This window comes from Homo sapiens, chromosome 7 (assembly GCF_000001405.40).
Source record: "Homo sapiens chromosome 7, GRCh38.p14 Primary Assembly".
NCBI classification, from domain to species: Eukaryota; Metazoa; Chordata; class Mammalia; order Primates; family Hominidae; genus Homo; species Homo sapiens.
The window spans coordinates 105,549,639-105,564,835 of record NC_000007.14 but is presented as its reverse complement, the minus strand read 5'-3'; the positions used below and the strand labels follow the sequence as shown (position 1 = coordinate 105,564,835).

Here is a 15,197-nt window from a genome sequence, read left to right as displayed (position 1 = left end):
AGAGACAGGGTTTCGCCATGTTGGCCAGGCTAGTTTCGAATTGCTGCCCTCAAGTAATCTGCCCGCCTTGGCCTCCCAAAGTGCTGGGATTACAGGTGTGAGCCACTGCACCCAGCCTGATTTTAGCATTTTAATTAAGACATCAGCTAATATTATCCTCTAATTTTTAGTAAAAACAGGACTAATAAACGAATTTTAAGCACTCTGTGTGGCAGGGACTATGCTAGGACAAAAAGATACTGCTTGCTATCAAGGATGAAAGTAACACAGGTGTTCACAGTGAATGGTAGTGGGATAAACCACAACAAAAGTATGCAGAGTACCACAGGTGCACTTTACTTTGCAAAATGGGAGACAGGTTAGGCTATTCAACCCCAGATCACACACTATCCTATTGATATATTTACAAACAACTAAATTATAATCAGTTTATTCTGATTAAGAATGTCAGCCAGGTGTGGTGGCTCACACCTGTAATCCTAGCACTTTGGGAGGCCGAGGCAGGTGGCTTGCCTGAGGTCAGGAGTTGGAGATCAGCCTGCCCAAAATGTGAAACCACATCTCTACTAAAAATACAAAAATTAGCCTTGTGTGGTGGTGCATGCCTGTAGTCCTGGCTACTTGGGAGGCTGAGGTGGGAAGGTCACTTGAACCTCTAAGGCAGAGGTTGCAATGAGCCAAGATCGTGCAACTGCACTCCAGCCTGGGTGACAGAGTAGGACTGTCTCAAAAAAAATGTCCAAGAGAACATACTTTAGAAATATTTCCATCAACAATAAAGTACATAAGGCCAAACCGGGTTCTATCTAGACACCTTGAAAATCTGACCACATATTCTTTAACTTTTACCAAACTGGTGTTAAGAGCTGACTTACATAGAGGACATACCTTTCTTTTTTATACAATTTTGCAGCATCTTTAACTTCTCTAAAAACGTGGTCTACTTGACGGGTCAACATATCATGCTTTAAACGTTCTAAGAGGTTAATCATGTCATCAAAGACAGAGCTCTCCATAGAGGCTAGCTGTCCTAGCTGCAATTTACTCAGAGTATTATTCTCTGCAAACACCTCCAGTGCAGCCTGTTGAAGTTGTAGAAAGAACTGAAAGCAAAAACATGTTAACACATTAGCATACTTTTTTTTTAACAGTTTGAAATAGAATTCATATGTCATACAATTCACCCATTTAAAGTGTATAATTCGACCGGGCACGGTGGCTCATGCCTGTAATCCCAGCACTTTGGGAGGCTGAGGTGGGTGGATCACCTGAGGTCAGGAGTTCGAAACCATCCTGGCCAACATGGTGAAACTCCAACTCTACTAAAAATACAAAAATAAGCCGGGTGTGGTGGCATGTGCCTGTAATCCTAGCTTGAACCTGGAAGGTGGAAGTTGCAGTGAGCCGAGATCATGCCTCTGCACTCCAGCCTGGGCGACAAAGTGAGACTCCATCTCAAAACTAATAATAGTGTATAATTCAATGATTTTTTTATATATTCAGTTGTATATCCATCACAATTTTAGAACATTTTCATCACCAAGAAAAAAGCCGTTATCCTCTAATACCGTCTCCCCACTCCCTCAACTCATAGGCAACCACTAATTGACTTTCTGTCTCAATGGATTTGCCTGTTCTGGACATTTCATATAAATGAAATCATACAACGTATGGTTGGTTGTGACTGTCTTCTTTCAGTACATTTTCAAGGTCTATCCATATTGTAACACGTATCATATTGTAACACGTATCAGCACTTCATTTTTTTTACATTGCCAGGTAATATTCCATTATATAGATAGACCACATTTTATTTATCCATTCATCAGCTGGTGGACATTTGGGTAGCTTCTACTTTGTCTATTATGAACAAATGCTGCTGTGAACATTTTTGTACAAGTTTTTTTTGTTTTGTTTTTTTGTTTTTTGTTTTGAGACGGAATCTCGCTCTGTCACCCAGGCTGGAGTGCAGTGGGGTGATCTTGGCTGACTGCAGTCTCCGCCTCCCGGGTTCAAGCGATTCTCCTGCCTCAGTCTCCTAAGTACCTGGGATTACGGGCGTGTGCCAGCACACCTGGCTAATTTTTTTTTTTGTAACTTTCGTAGAGATGGTGTTTCACCATGTTGGTCAGACTGGTCTCAAACTCCTGACCTCATGATCCGCCCACCTCAGCCTCCCAAAGTTCTGGGATTACAGGCGTGAGTCACCAAGCCTGGCAGTACAAGTTTTTATGTGGACATATGTTTCATTTCTCTTGGTATGTACTGAAGAGTGGAATTGCTGGATCTTATGGTAAGTCTATGTTTTAACAGTTTGAAAGGCTAGGCATGGTAGCTCATGCCTATAGTGCCAGCACTTTAAGAGGCTGAGGCCAGAGAATCATTTTATAGTGAGACCTTATCTCTAGAAAAAAATTAAAAATTAGCTGAGTGTGGTGGCCACAGACCTCCCAGCTACTCAGGAGGCTGAGATGGGAAGACTGCTGGAGCCCAGGAGGCAGAGGTTGCAGTGAGCCAAGATTGTGCCACTGCACTGCAGCCTGGGTGAAAGAACGAGATCTCATCTCAGAAAACAAAAAAACAGTTTGCGGAACTGCCATACTGTTTTCCACAGCAACTGTACCATGTTACATTCCCACTAGTCAATGTTAAACTATTCTGAAATGGAACAATCTCAAGATATATTGTTAACCGGAAAAAGCAGAAGAGTTTGCATAGTATGTTACCACACGTTGACATACACACACCAGTATTTATATAAATAGCTTTAGTAGTATATACAAGAAATTGATCAAAGTGATTGGCTTTAGGGAAGATTAGAATTAAGACTTATTTTCACTATATATATATTTTCAATATATACAGTTTTGTGGCTTTTGAATTTTGTATCACATGGATTACATATAGTGAAAAATATTTTTCTCTTTCAACTTCTGTGTACGGTAATCATGAACTTAAAAAAAATGACACTATCGGCCAGGCGTGGTGGCTCATGCCTGTAATCTCAGCACTTTGGGAGGCTGACGCAGGTGGATCACCTGAGGTCAGGAGTTTGAGACCAGCCTGGCCAACATAGTGAAATGCCATCTCTACTAAAAATACAAAAATTACCTGGGCATGGTGGCAGGTGCCTGTAATCCCAGCTACTCGGGAGGCTGAGGCAGAAGAATTGCTTGAACCCAGGAGGCAGAGTTTGCAGTAAGCCGAGATCGTGCCACTGCACCCTAGCCTGGGCGACAAGAGTGAAACCCCGTCTCAAAAAATGACAACAAAAAAATGACACTATCTACTTGTTTTTTTTATTTTTTGAGACAAGAGTCTCACTCTGTCCCTCAGGCTGGAATGAAATGGAGCAATCTCGGCTTACTGCAATCTCCCCTCCCTGGTTCAGGCGATTCTCCTGTGTCAGCCTCCCGAGTAGCTGGGACTACAGGCGAGCACCACCATACCTGGCTAATTTTTGTATTTTTAGTAGAGATGGGGTATCACCATGTTGGCCAGGCTGATCTTGAACTCCTGACCTCAGGTGATCCACTCGCTTTGGCTTCCCAAAGTGCTGAGATTACAGGTGTGAGCCACCATGCCTGGCGTTGTTCTAAATAAAATTAAAAATATTTTTTAAACGACACTATCAACAAGCATTTAAGCATAAGATTATAAAGGTCTGAAATTTTATTTTTCCAAAATTAACAGAGGACTAAATAAATCACCTTGCCAAGGTTTTTTTTTTTTTTTCTCTAAAACTCTGAATAGCATTAGGCCGTGAACACATCATAAGCCATTATTAAGGTCATCAAACATTTGGCTTCCCTTGATGGCCTGGCACGGTGGCTTACGCCTGTAAACCCAGCACTTTGGGAGCCCGGGGCGGCGGATCACTTGAGGTCTGAGGTTCGAGATCAGCCTGACCAACATGGTGAAACCCCATCTCTACTAAAAATAGAAAAGTTAGTCGGGCATGGTGGCGCACACCTGTAATCCCAGCTACTCAGGAAGCTGAGGCAGGAGAATAACTTGAACCTGGGAGGCAGAAGTTGCCGTGAGCCAAGATCACACCACTGCAATCCAGCCTGGGTGACAAAGTGAGACTCTTGTCTCAAAAAAAAAACCAAAATAAAAAACATTTGGCTACCCTTGAAATGGTTTCTTAAGAATTTTCAGTTGCTTTTCTTTTAAAGTTCTTGAAATAAAACTAATTAAAATTTTAAAAACCAAAAGCCATTGAGAATTCTCCCAAAGATTTCATGGATAACGAACAAACCATAAAATCTGGTGGTTAATTTTTTTATACATTTACTATTAAAATTCTGACTACCCAACATGAACCTAAATCATCTCTCTTTGTCTCTCCCCATCTCCCTCTCTCCTCCCGTGCCCCCGCCCCATATCTTTTTGCATGGCAATGTGTCATGGGCATCAACTACTTTTACATGGCAACTTTTCCCCTTTTAACAGTACCCCAATTTTCCTTTGGGGAAACACTTCCCCAATCTGAGACAACTTAGGTGGTGTCAGCCCTATCCTTTGGTGCCAGGGATGCACACATAACTTGGTAATACCATGCCCTGGCTGCACTAGTAATTGTTCAGAGATGGACATATGAGAGGCACCTTGGTATTTCTGCTGAAACTATCAGAGAAGCAGCACTCTTCTTTTGAGATTGCAGAAGGACCATGTGAGCCTGGAACCACCTGTGGCCACACGTCCAGAGCCTGCCTCAGAACAAAACCAGAAATTGACAACTTTAGAACAGCCATGCCTAATCCTTTTAGAAAGTTAAAATCCTCACCTCCCATATCTCACCCCACATCCCAACTTAGGCCAGTTTGAATTTCATATCTGTCACCTACAACTGAAAAATTCCTAATTCTGAATGGCTGCTTATTTCAGGCTTGGCACAATCTGGCAACTGGCAGACAGTTATCAGTAGAGAACCTGAAACAAATGGAAAGTGAATTCTGTCCATTCTTTTTCCTTTTTCTAATTATGCAATACAAGAGCTTTAATAATTTTTACTTATACAGTATTCACTGGCTGAAGGACTGTGAATATGATTAAAGAATGTTTGAGGTTAAGACAGAACTTGCACTATATAGTTATTGTTTTTTATTTTTTGAGACAGAGTTTTGCTCTTGTCATCCAGGCTGGAGCGCAACGGCGCAATTTTGGCTCACTGCAACCTCTGCCTCCCGGTTCAAGCTATTCTCCTGCCTCAGCCTCCTGAGTAGCTGGGATTATAGGCGTCCGCCACCACACCTGGCTTTTTCTTTTTTTTTTTTTTTTTTTTTTTTTTTTGAGACAGAGTCTTGCTCTCTCACCCAAGCTGGAGTGCAGTGGCACAATCTCAGCTCACTGCAACCTCCACCTCCCAGGTTCATGCAATTCTCCTGTCTCAGCCTCCTGAGTAGCTGGGACTACAGGCGCCCACCACCATGCCTGGCTAGTTTTTGTATTTTTAGTAGAGATGGGGTTTCACCATCTTGGCCAGGCTGGTCTCGAACTCCTGACCTCAGGTGATCCGCCTGCCTCGGCCTCCAAAAGTGCTGGGATTATAGGCGACAACTACCGTGCCCAGCCACGCCTGGCTAATTTTTTGTATTTTTAGTAAAGACGGGATTCCACCATGTTGGCCAGGCTGGTCTCAAACTCCTGACGTCAGGTGATCCACCCACCTTGGCCTCCCAAAGTGCTGGGATTACAGGCGTGAGCCACCACACCCGGCCAGATTTGCACCATCATAACCATGCTAGGACACAATTCATTCACAATTTGAACAATCAACTCTGAAATTTATTTCTCTGCTGACAGAGAACCTAGTTAATTCAGCATGAGATTATACGTTTTCTAAGGGTAGGGATGATGGCTAATTCATCTTTCTTTTTTTGGCGGGGGGAGTTGCCCAGGCTGGAGTGCAGTAGTGTGATGAAGGCTCACTGCAGTCTCAACCTCCCGGGCTCAAGCAATCTTCCCACCTCAGCCTCCAAGTAGCTGGGACCACAGAGCATGCCTGCCATGCCCAGTTAATTTATTTTATTTTATGTAGAGACAGGGTCTCCCTATGCTGCCCAGGCTGGTCTCCAACTCCTGAGCTCAAGTGATCCACCCACCTTAGCCTCCCAAGCAGCTAGGACTACAGGGGTACGCCACCATGCTCAGCTAATTTTTTGTATTTTTTGTAGAGATGAGGTCTCACCATGTTGCCCAGACTGGTCTCGAACTCCTGGGCTTAAGTGATCAGCCCACCTTGGCTTCCCAGAGTTGGGATTACAGGTGTGAGACATCGTGCCCAGCCATCTTTCTTAAACAGACTATAGCACCAAGTAAAGCAGTTGATGATGTTCTACAAATAATTTCATTGAAGAAAAAATTCTGGCACAAGAATCAAGAATAACAATTTGTTTCATATTACTAAAAACGCTTAGCAGAATATGGAGCTGTGGGGGTGCTGAGAGAATACTTACTTAAATTAGAAACACAACACATAAAAGTACAAAATGAATGCATGTATGCTAATTAGCTGACTTTATTTTTTTTTTTTTTTTGAGACTGTTTTGCTCTTGCTGCCCAGGCTGGAGTGCAATGGCGTATTCTCAGCTCACTGCAACCTCTGCCTCCTGGGTTCAAGCGATTCTTCTGCCTCAGCCTCCTGAGTAGCTGGGATTACAGGCATTTTTTTTATTTTTAGTAAAGACAGGGTTTCACCATGTTGGCCAGGCTGGTCTCGAACTCCTGACCTCAGGTGATCCACACACCTTGGCCTCCCAAAGTGTTGGGATTACAGGCATGAGCCACCACACCCAGACTGATTAGCTGACTTTATAAACAAACTGATCATTACCCTCTATCTTATAATCATATTATGAAATAATTGTTTTATTTTCCTTGCTCAGCAGAATGACATTATGCACATGGATTTCAGTTATTTTTATAGGAAAAAAACTTTAACTAATTACTAAGTCCCAGACAGAGTACAGATAAGCATAAACTATGATGATTGTGTTTATCAGATTTTTATCTTGTTTATATCTATGATGAGTATATTTATTATATTTATTTTTGCCCCCTATTTATTTGGCTTATTTAAAATTTAAATAAAAATGGTTTTTGTTTGGCTTTTTCTTTCACATTAAAATAGGTATTATGAGGAATACATTTTCTGCTATACAATGCTTTAGAAGTAACCATAAATTTTTGTTCTACATATAACAAAATGTACTATATAGTGTATTAATTTGTATACTACAATTTTTATTCCTAAACTCATAATTTAAAATTTAATGCTTTCTAGACTTCCTTCCTAATCCAGGCATTTAATGTTTTTACATGTCCATGTTTGAATATATTTCATTTCCGCTTTTATTTCCTGTTTTATTGCATTAAGATAATGTACAGATATTTTAAATTAATTTATCTTGTCCATCTTTGTGACTCATCTGGACACACTTGAAAATTGTGTTTTTCCCTGTTATACTATGGAATGTATCACTAATCTTCAGTTAATCAATCTAATTGTTTAAGTTTACAATTTTTTAATTCTCACTTTACCTATCACATTCTAATAGTATATTTAAGTCTTTAGTTAAAATTGCATTTGTCTTGTTTACCTTTCTGTTTTCATTTTATGACACAATTATATATTTTATATTAATAATTCATATTAAAATTTTCATAGTCATTATCAGATTTATTCCGTATAGTTAGTTTCTTTAATATTTAATGTCTATTCTATTTTACCATTTCATAGTCATCCTAGTTCTCTGTTTATGCGTTCTGTCATGAAATGTACTTTATGGGACACCCAAGTTGGTATAAACCTAAGTTGATTTTGTATTCTCACAGATGATCTCAGAACAGTGATTCTTAACCTAAGGGCACCCTGTTCAAGAAGGGAGTTCTGAAGGTCCTCTGAGATTATGTTAATATCTAAAACATCTAAAAGAATTCATCTGTCTATGTCAAGGTTATAAAGGCTAATTAGACTTTTGTTTGGAAGCATCTATTGGAAAATCTGGTTGCCAAAGAGTCCTGATAGCCAGGATATTCCTTGAATTAATAAAAACAGTAAAAATAAATTACTACTTAATAATTATACTTAGGCATATCAAGTCTGTCAGTAGGTTAACTTAATTAGGCAGATCAAATCTTGTCAGAATCTGCATGGAGAAGGCAAGGGTCAGTAGAATCTGGAGGGAAAAGGCCTTATGGTATTTGTTAACTGGACCCAAGGTTTTTATTTATAGATTTATTTAAAATATACCTTCCAATAAATCAGTTAATTTTTTCAGATACAATCATAGTGCTGTTTTTTTTTAAAAGAGTTCTTACCTTTTAGAGATAAATACTAATATATATCTCTCTATATAAATATTACCATGAAATATGATATCTGAGATCTGCTTCAAAATAATCAAGTATTGGGGGGCAGAAAAGAGGTTTAAATAAAACAAAATTGGTGTAAGAAGTTGAGTGAGCTGGGCATGGTGGCTCACACCTATAATCCCAGCACTTTGGGAGGCAGAAGCAGGTGGATCACCTGAGGTCAGGAGTTTGAGACCAGCCTGGCCAATAAGGTGAAAACTCGTCTCTACTACTAAAAAAAAAATTAGCCAGGCATGGTGGCGGGTGCCTGTAATCCCAGCTACTCAGGAGGCTGAGGCAGGATAATCCCTTGAACCCAGGAGACAGAGGTTGCAGTGAGCCGAGATCGCACCATTGCACTCCAGCCCGGGCAACAAGAGCGAAACTCTGTCACAAAAAAAAAAAAAAGAAGTTGAGTGATAGCCACGCCACAGAAGTTCATTTTCCTATTCTATTTACTCTTGCATATATTTGAAAATTTGATACATGAAATGTTAGTTTCTTATTTTTATTTTTTGTAGAGACAGGGTCTCACTATGTTGCACAGCTGGTCATGAATTTCTGGGCTCCAGTGATCCTCCCACCTCAGCCTCCCAAGTAGCTCGGACTACAGGCATATGCCACCACACCTGGCTAATTTTATTTTATTTTTTATTCTTTGGAGAAATGGGGTCTCCCTATGTTGCCCAGGTTGGTCTCCAACTCCTGGGCTCAAGCAATTCTCCCATCTCAGCCTCCTAAAGTGCTGGGATTAAGAGCATGAGCCACTGCACCCAGCCAAATAGATTTTTAATGTATGAAACAATTAAAACTTTAAATGTTTCTTCCTATTTTCATGACTCTTTATAATCTGTCATGTTTTGAAGACATTCAAGAGGTATTAAACATTATTCTTTTATTTTCCTTAAAGTCCTGGATTGCTTTTGACATCATTATTTAATCTTAGCTCTTCCTGTGATTGCAATTACCATACATGAATATTTCCAAGTATGGTTCACTCTATAAACAACTATTTCATGAAAGGCTTGCTTGCCTTTCCAATGATTAAATACATTAAAATATCAGGACTATTTAACTACTTGAGATTTGATTGAGAAAAATGTGTATTTTAATTACACCTTTTAATTATGGCACTATGGTTCTGTCTAGCATGTTTATTTTTGCTTGCAATAGATTCAACATTTTGAAAAGTATTAATAAAATAGTTCGAACTAGTATATATTACTTAATATAAAAGCATATTAACTCACAACATTGTCAGCCCAATCTGCTAGTACTGTTGAGATGTAGTTCACAGCATTAAGAATTGCACAGTATCGAAAGCCAAGGGAAGCTCTAGTCTCTTCTTTCATCACTTGTGTTAATCGTATCCTAAAATCATCTACTAAGTCCTTCTGTAACTCCAGGAACTGAAGCTTTCGGGAAGCTGTGGGAAGATTTTTATACCTGTCTGTGGAAAAAGTTATTAAGACATATGAAGGTTTTGGTACCATCTATGATATAGTTATAAGTTTTCCCTACTGTCCTGCTTCAGTGCTTTTGTCAAAAATCAATTGACCAGTAGTCAAGAATGGATTTATTTCTGAGCTCTCTTAAGGATGTGAGTTTCAAAAGTATATACATTTGCCAAAACTCATTGAACAATACAAATAAGATCTGCACATTACACTGTATGTAAACTATACCTCAAGTTTTCAAAAAGGCAAATGAAAAAATTATACATAAAAATGACAGTTTTGGCCAGTCGTGGTGGCTCACGCCTGTAATCCCAGCACTTTGTGAGGCCAAGGCAGGTGGATCAACTGAGGTCAGGAGTTCAAGACTAGCCTGGCCAACATGGTGACACCTCATCTCTACCAAAACTACAAAAATTAGCCGGGCAGTAGTGGCGTGTGCCTGTAATCCCAGCTACTTGGGAGTCTGAGGCAGGAGAATTGCTTGAACCCGGGAGGTGGAGGTTGCAGTGAGCCAACATGGCACCACTGCTTTCCAGCCTAGGCAACAGAGTGAGACTCCATCTAACAAAAAAAAAAAAAGAAAGAAAAAAAAATGACAGTTTCTTCAACACAAATAAACAGCATTTTTTTAAAAAAGAAAGAACTTCAATAAATTAAAAGATACACATTTAAGAATTTACAGGCAGTTGGCCGGGCACGGTGGCTCACACCTGTAATCTCAGCACTTTGGGAGGCCGAGGTGGGTGGATCACGAGGTCAGGAGATCAAGACCATCCTGGCTAACACAGTGAAACCCTGTCTCTACTAGAAATACAAAAAAATTCGCCGGGCACAGTGGCTCACGCCTGTAATCCCAGCACTTTGGGAGGCTGAGGCGGGTGGATCACGAGGTCAGAAGATCAATACCATCCTGGCTAACACGGTGAAACCCCATCTCTACTAAAAATACAAAAAATTAGCCGAGTGTGGTGGCGGGTGCCTGTAGTCCCAGCTACTCGGGAGGCTGAGGCAGGAGAATGGCGTGAACCCGGGAGGCAGAGCTTGCGGTGAGCTGAGATGGCGCCACTGCACTCCAGCCTGGGCGACAGAGTGAGACTCCATCTCAAAAAAAAAAAAAAAAAAAAAAAAAAAAATTAGCTGGGTATGGTGACGGGTGCCTGTAGTTCCAGCTACTCAGGAGGCTGAGGTAGGAGAATGGTGTGAACCCAGGAGGTGGAGCTTGCAGTGAGCCGAGATTGCGCCACAGCACTCCAGCCTGGGCGACAGAGCGAGACTCTGTCTCAAAGAAAAAAAAAAAAGACAATTTACAGGCAGGCATGGTGGCTCACGCCTGTAATCCCAGCACTTTGGGAGGCCGAGGCAGGTGGATCACCTGAGGTCAGGAGTTCGAGACCAGTCTGGGCAATATGAAACCCCATCTCTAGTAGAGCCGCCACCATGCCTGGCTAATTTTTTTGTATTTTTAGTAGAGACGGGGTTTCACTGTGTTAGCCAGGATGGTCTCGATCTCCTGACCTCGTGACCTGCCCACCTCAGCCTCCCAAAGTGCTGGGATTACAGGTGTGAGCCACCGTGCCTGGCCAACTGCCTGTAAATTTTTGTATTTTTAGTAAAAATACAAAAAAAAATTAACCAGGCATGGTGGCAGGCATCTGTAATCCCAGCTACTCAGGAGGCTGAGGTAGGAGAATTGCTTGGACCCAGGAGGCGGAGGTTGCAGTAAGCCGAGATTGCGCCATTGCACTCCAGCCTGGGTGACAAGAGCGAAATTCTGTCTCAAAAAAAAGAATTTACAATTGACATGATGAGATGTCTGAAATTTTCTTTGAAATACTCCAGAAAAAAAAAATTGAGGAGTAAAATATAACAGAAAAGTGATAATTGCTTTAAACTTTGGCAATAGGTACCTGAGAGTTCATCATATTATCCTACTTTTGTGTATGTTTGAAAATTTTCTGAATAAAAAGTTTTTAAGAGACATGAATTTTCCTTAATTTTTTTGTCTTAGTATTTTTCATATTTTTCTTATAGTTAAAAATATGGAATGATGACTGGGCACGGTGGCTCATGCCTGTAATCCCAGCACTTTGGGAGGCCGAGGCAGGTGGATCACAAGGTCAGGAGTTCAAGACCAGCCTGGCTAAGATGGTGAAACCCCGTCTCTACTAAAAATTCAAAAATTAGCTGGGCGTGGCAGCAGGTGCCTATAATCCCAGCTACTTGGGAGGCGGAGGCAAAAGAATTGCTTGATCCTGGGCAGCAGAGGTTGCAGTGAGCCGAGATCATGCCACTGCACTCCAGCCTGGGTGACAGAGTGAGACTCCATCTCAAAAAAAAAAAAAAAAAAAAAAAAAGGAATTATTTACTGACTGGGCTGGAATGATACTTCTTCAGGTTACCAGACAAGCCTAAGAAACGGACAGGCTAGTGGTTGACGAAGGTGAAGAGGGCCAGGGATGGTGGCAATGAGGGTCCAGTGGCACCTGGACAACAAGCAGGCCCACAAGGGGGCAACGTGATTGGCTAAAGACCAACCAGGGCCAGAGGATGCTAGGCTACCCTCCAGCCAGAGAATCCCTGCACTGTAACAAAAGTTCCTATTACTACTCCAATCCTTAAAATTACTTCATTATTTTACTCTCTTCTGCAATCTTTGATAAATCAAGATCAAGACAATATTTAAAATATAGGCCAATCACCATTTACTGAAGACACCTAAAAAGCCCAATAGCAAGACAGTTTGGATAATAAAATTAAATTCCTATTTAATTGTTTTTGTGTAATTATTCAGGAAGTTTTCCTTCATGTATACCAATGTTTAAATCCTTAAATTATTAAAAACCCAAAAGTTAGAATATTGTGTTAGATTTCTACCAATATAGAAACTGAATTTGAAGATAACAACCATCATATAATATTAATTTGCTGAGCCACTTATTTATTGATTACTTTATTGACAGGGTCTCACTCTGTCACCAAGGCTGGACTGCAGTGGCGTGATCATGGCTCACTGCAACCTCTACCTCCCATGCTCAAAAAATCCTCCCACCTCAGCCTCCCAAGTAGCTGGGACTACAGGCACACACCACCACAACTGGCTAATTTCTGTATTTTTTCGGAAGAGAGGGCATTTCACCATGTACCCCAGGCTGTTCTCGAACTCCTGGGCTCAAGCAACCTGCCCGTCTCAGCCTCTCAAAGTGCTAGGATTACAGGCATGAGCCACTGCACCCAGCCTACTGAGCTACTTTAAAAACTACCACGTGAAAACAGTACTTTTAAAACAAAGTCATATCTTAAAAGACATACTTACCAGTTATAACCAAGAGTAGAGTCATAAAAGTTTCTGCACAATCTGGAACTTTCATTTCATCCACGTCAGTGATATCCTTATATTGCGATACCCAGGCAGCTTCTGAGGAAAGCATTGAGTCCATTTTTTGAAGAGCAACTGATAAGCAGACAAAACAATTATGTCAATTAAGTAGTTACAGTCGTTCCTAATTATTCAACTTGTAATTTTTTAGGAATGATGGCTTTTCTATAAAAAAGAAACAAACCTACAATATCCCACTGGTTGTACTAAATTTAACTTAATTAATGCTTTAAACAGGATACTTTACTCCCATCCCCAAATTCTGAAAATAGTTATGTTGACTAGATAAGCTACAGTAAAAAATATTCTATTGGCCAGGCACGGTGGCTCACACCAGTAATCCCAGCACTCCAGGAGGCCAAGGTGGGTGGATTGCTTGAGTCTAGGAGTTCACAACCAGCTTGGGCAAAACCCCAGGGAAACCCCATCTCTACAAAAAATACAAAAAGTAGCCAGGCATGGCTTGCATATACCTATACTCCCAGCTACTGGGGTGGCTGAGGCAGGAGGATCACCTGAGCCCCAGAGGTCGAGGCTGCAGTAAGCCATGATCGGCCCACTCCACTCTAGCCTCGGTGACAAAGTGAGACCCTATCTCAAAAATAAAAAAATAAAATATTCTGACACTTTGGGAGGCCAAGGCAGGTGGATTACTTGAAGTCAGGAGTTCCAGACCAGCCTGGCCAACATGTTGTAACCCTGTCACTCCTAAAAACAGAAAAATTAGCCAGGCGTGGTAGTGCGTGCCTGTAATCCTAACTACTCGGGAGGCTGAGACAGGAGAATCGCTTGAACGCAGGGGGTGGAGGTTGCAATGAGCTGAGATCAAACTACTGCACTTTAGCCTGGACAACAGAGCAAGAGTCTGTCCCAAAATAAATAAATAAAAATAAAATAAATTATATGATAAAATCTATAAAACAAACACCCCACTGGCTTGACTATTCCACTCTAGAAATATGTAGAGTGTAATTTCAGGAAAAATGGAAGTTTCATGTGAAGTAAAGAAAAGATTATCTCTGAAGGAAACAGAAAACCCTGAAAAGGAAATTTCAAATGGCTCTAGTTCCTATTTAGAACTGGAGAAGAAAAATATCAAAAATGTATACCCACAGAAACAGACATATCTCCCTACCATCTGGCCACATCAGCACTTACATTTTCTCTCCACCGTCAACCATCTCTGAAAACAGGTTTCCTCTGATAGAATATGCATACAACTAGCAAAAGTGCCAGGATAGCCATGAACACTGTGTAGCTCCCTTTCAAACAAGAGTACTTCATCCACCAAATGACAGAAGAGATTGTCATCATATAGCAGACAAGGAATATCAGTGGCTAACTTCTCAAGAACCAGCATCATAAGGCCCCGAGAAAATTCAAGCTAAAAAAATACACAAACATGAGGTATGTAAATAAAAAGTTATCCATGCACACATACAGTTCTAAAACAGAAACACTTATGACTGAGTCTCTTACCCTTGCGTTTACCAAAGAGCCTACTTTGTCTAATATTGGCTGAATCTTCTCATCCAGAAATTCAGTATGGTTTCCAATCCACATAAGTACTTGAGCCAAGTACCATTCTGGCTAAGGAAGGAGGAAAATAGTTTGAATTCTTAAGTCATTCCAATTAGAAAGTTACAATTACATGGTTCTATTTAATTGTATATGCACAACACTTATAAAAATTAGTTGAAAATTCCTGTATGTAAGAGCACAATTTCTACTCCAAATTTTAAACTCCTGCAAGGCTTAATAATCAAATGTTTGCTAATGTACTCCCAACAAATTTCAATAATATGACTTAAGTCAATAAACTCATAAATTTACAATGCCATATATATTTAAAACCTAGCACTTCAATAATATGTAAAATGATGAGTATTACAAAGAACTGATGGCCTATATTTTTTGAAATAGCATTTGAAAATAATTTTAATATTATTTTCTTATGGTTTTTATTTTCAAAAAGTAAATCAAGAAAAAAATTGCTGGCCAGGCGT

At 40.5% G+C, this 15,197-nt stretch overlaps 1 protein-coding gene across 10 annotated transcripts in view; it reads right to left on the bottom strand.

The window, feature by feature from the left end:
- Window positions 1–15,197, bottom strand: part of RINT1 (RAD50 interactor 1) — a 35,477-nt gene that overhangs the window by 2,842 nt on the left and 17,438 nt on the right. For 7 of the 10 annotated variants that reach the window (NM_021930.6, NM_001346601.2, NM_001346603.2 and 4 more), the window contains 5 exons: window positions 14,671–14,781; window positions 14,350–14,575; window positions 13,129–13,266; window positions 9,609–9,808; window positions 889–1,103 (listed from right to left, as the gene is read on the bottom strand). In NM_021930.6, coding sequence (NP_068749.3) covers window positions 889–1,103; window positions 9,609–9,808; window positions 13,129–13,266; window positions 14,350–14,575; window positions 14,671–14,781 — 890 coding nt within the window. The remainder of the gene's footprint in view (window positions 1–888; window positions 1,104–9,608; window positions 9,809–13,128; window positions 13,267–14,349; window positions 14,576–14,670; window positions 14,782–15,197) is intronic. The other 3 variants (NM_001346600.2, XM_005250524.5, NR_144478.2) reach the window with 2 other exon arrangements.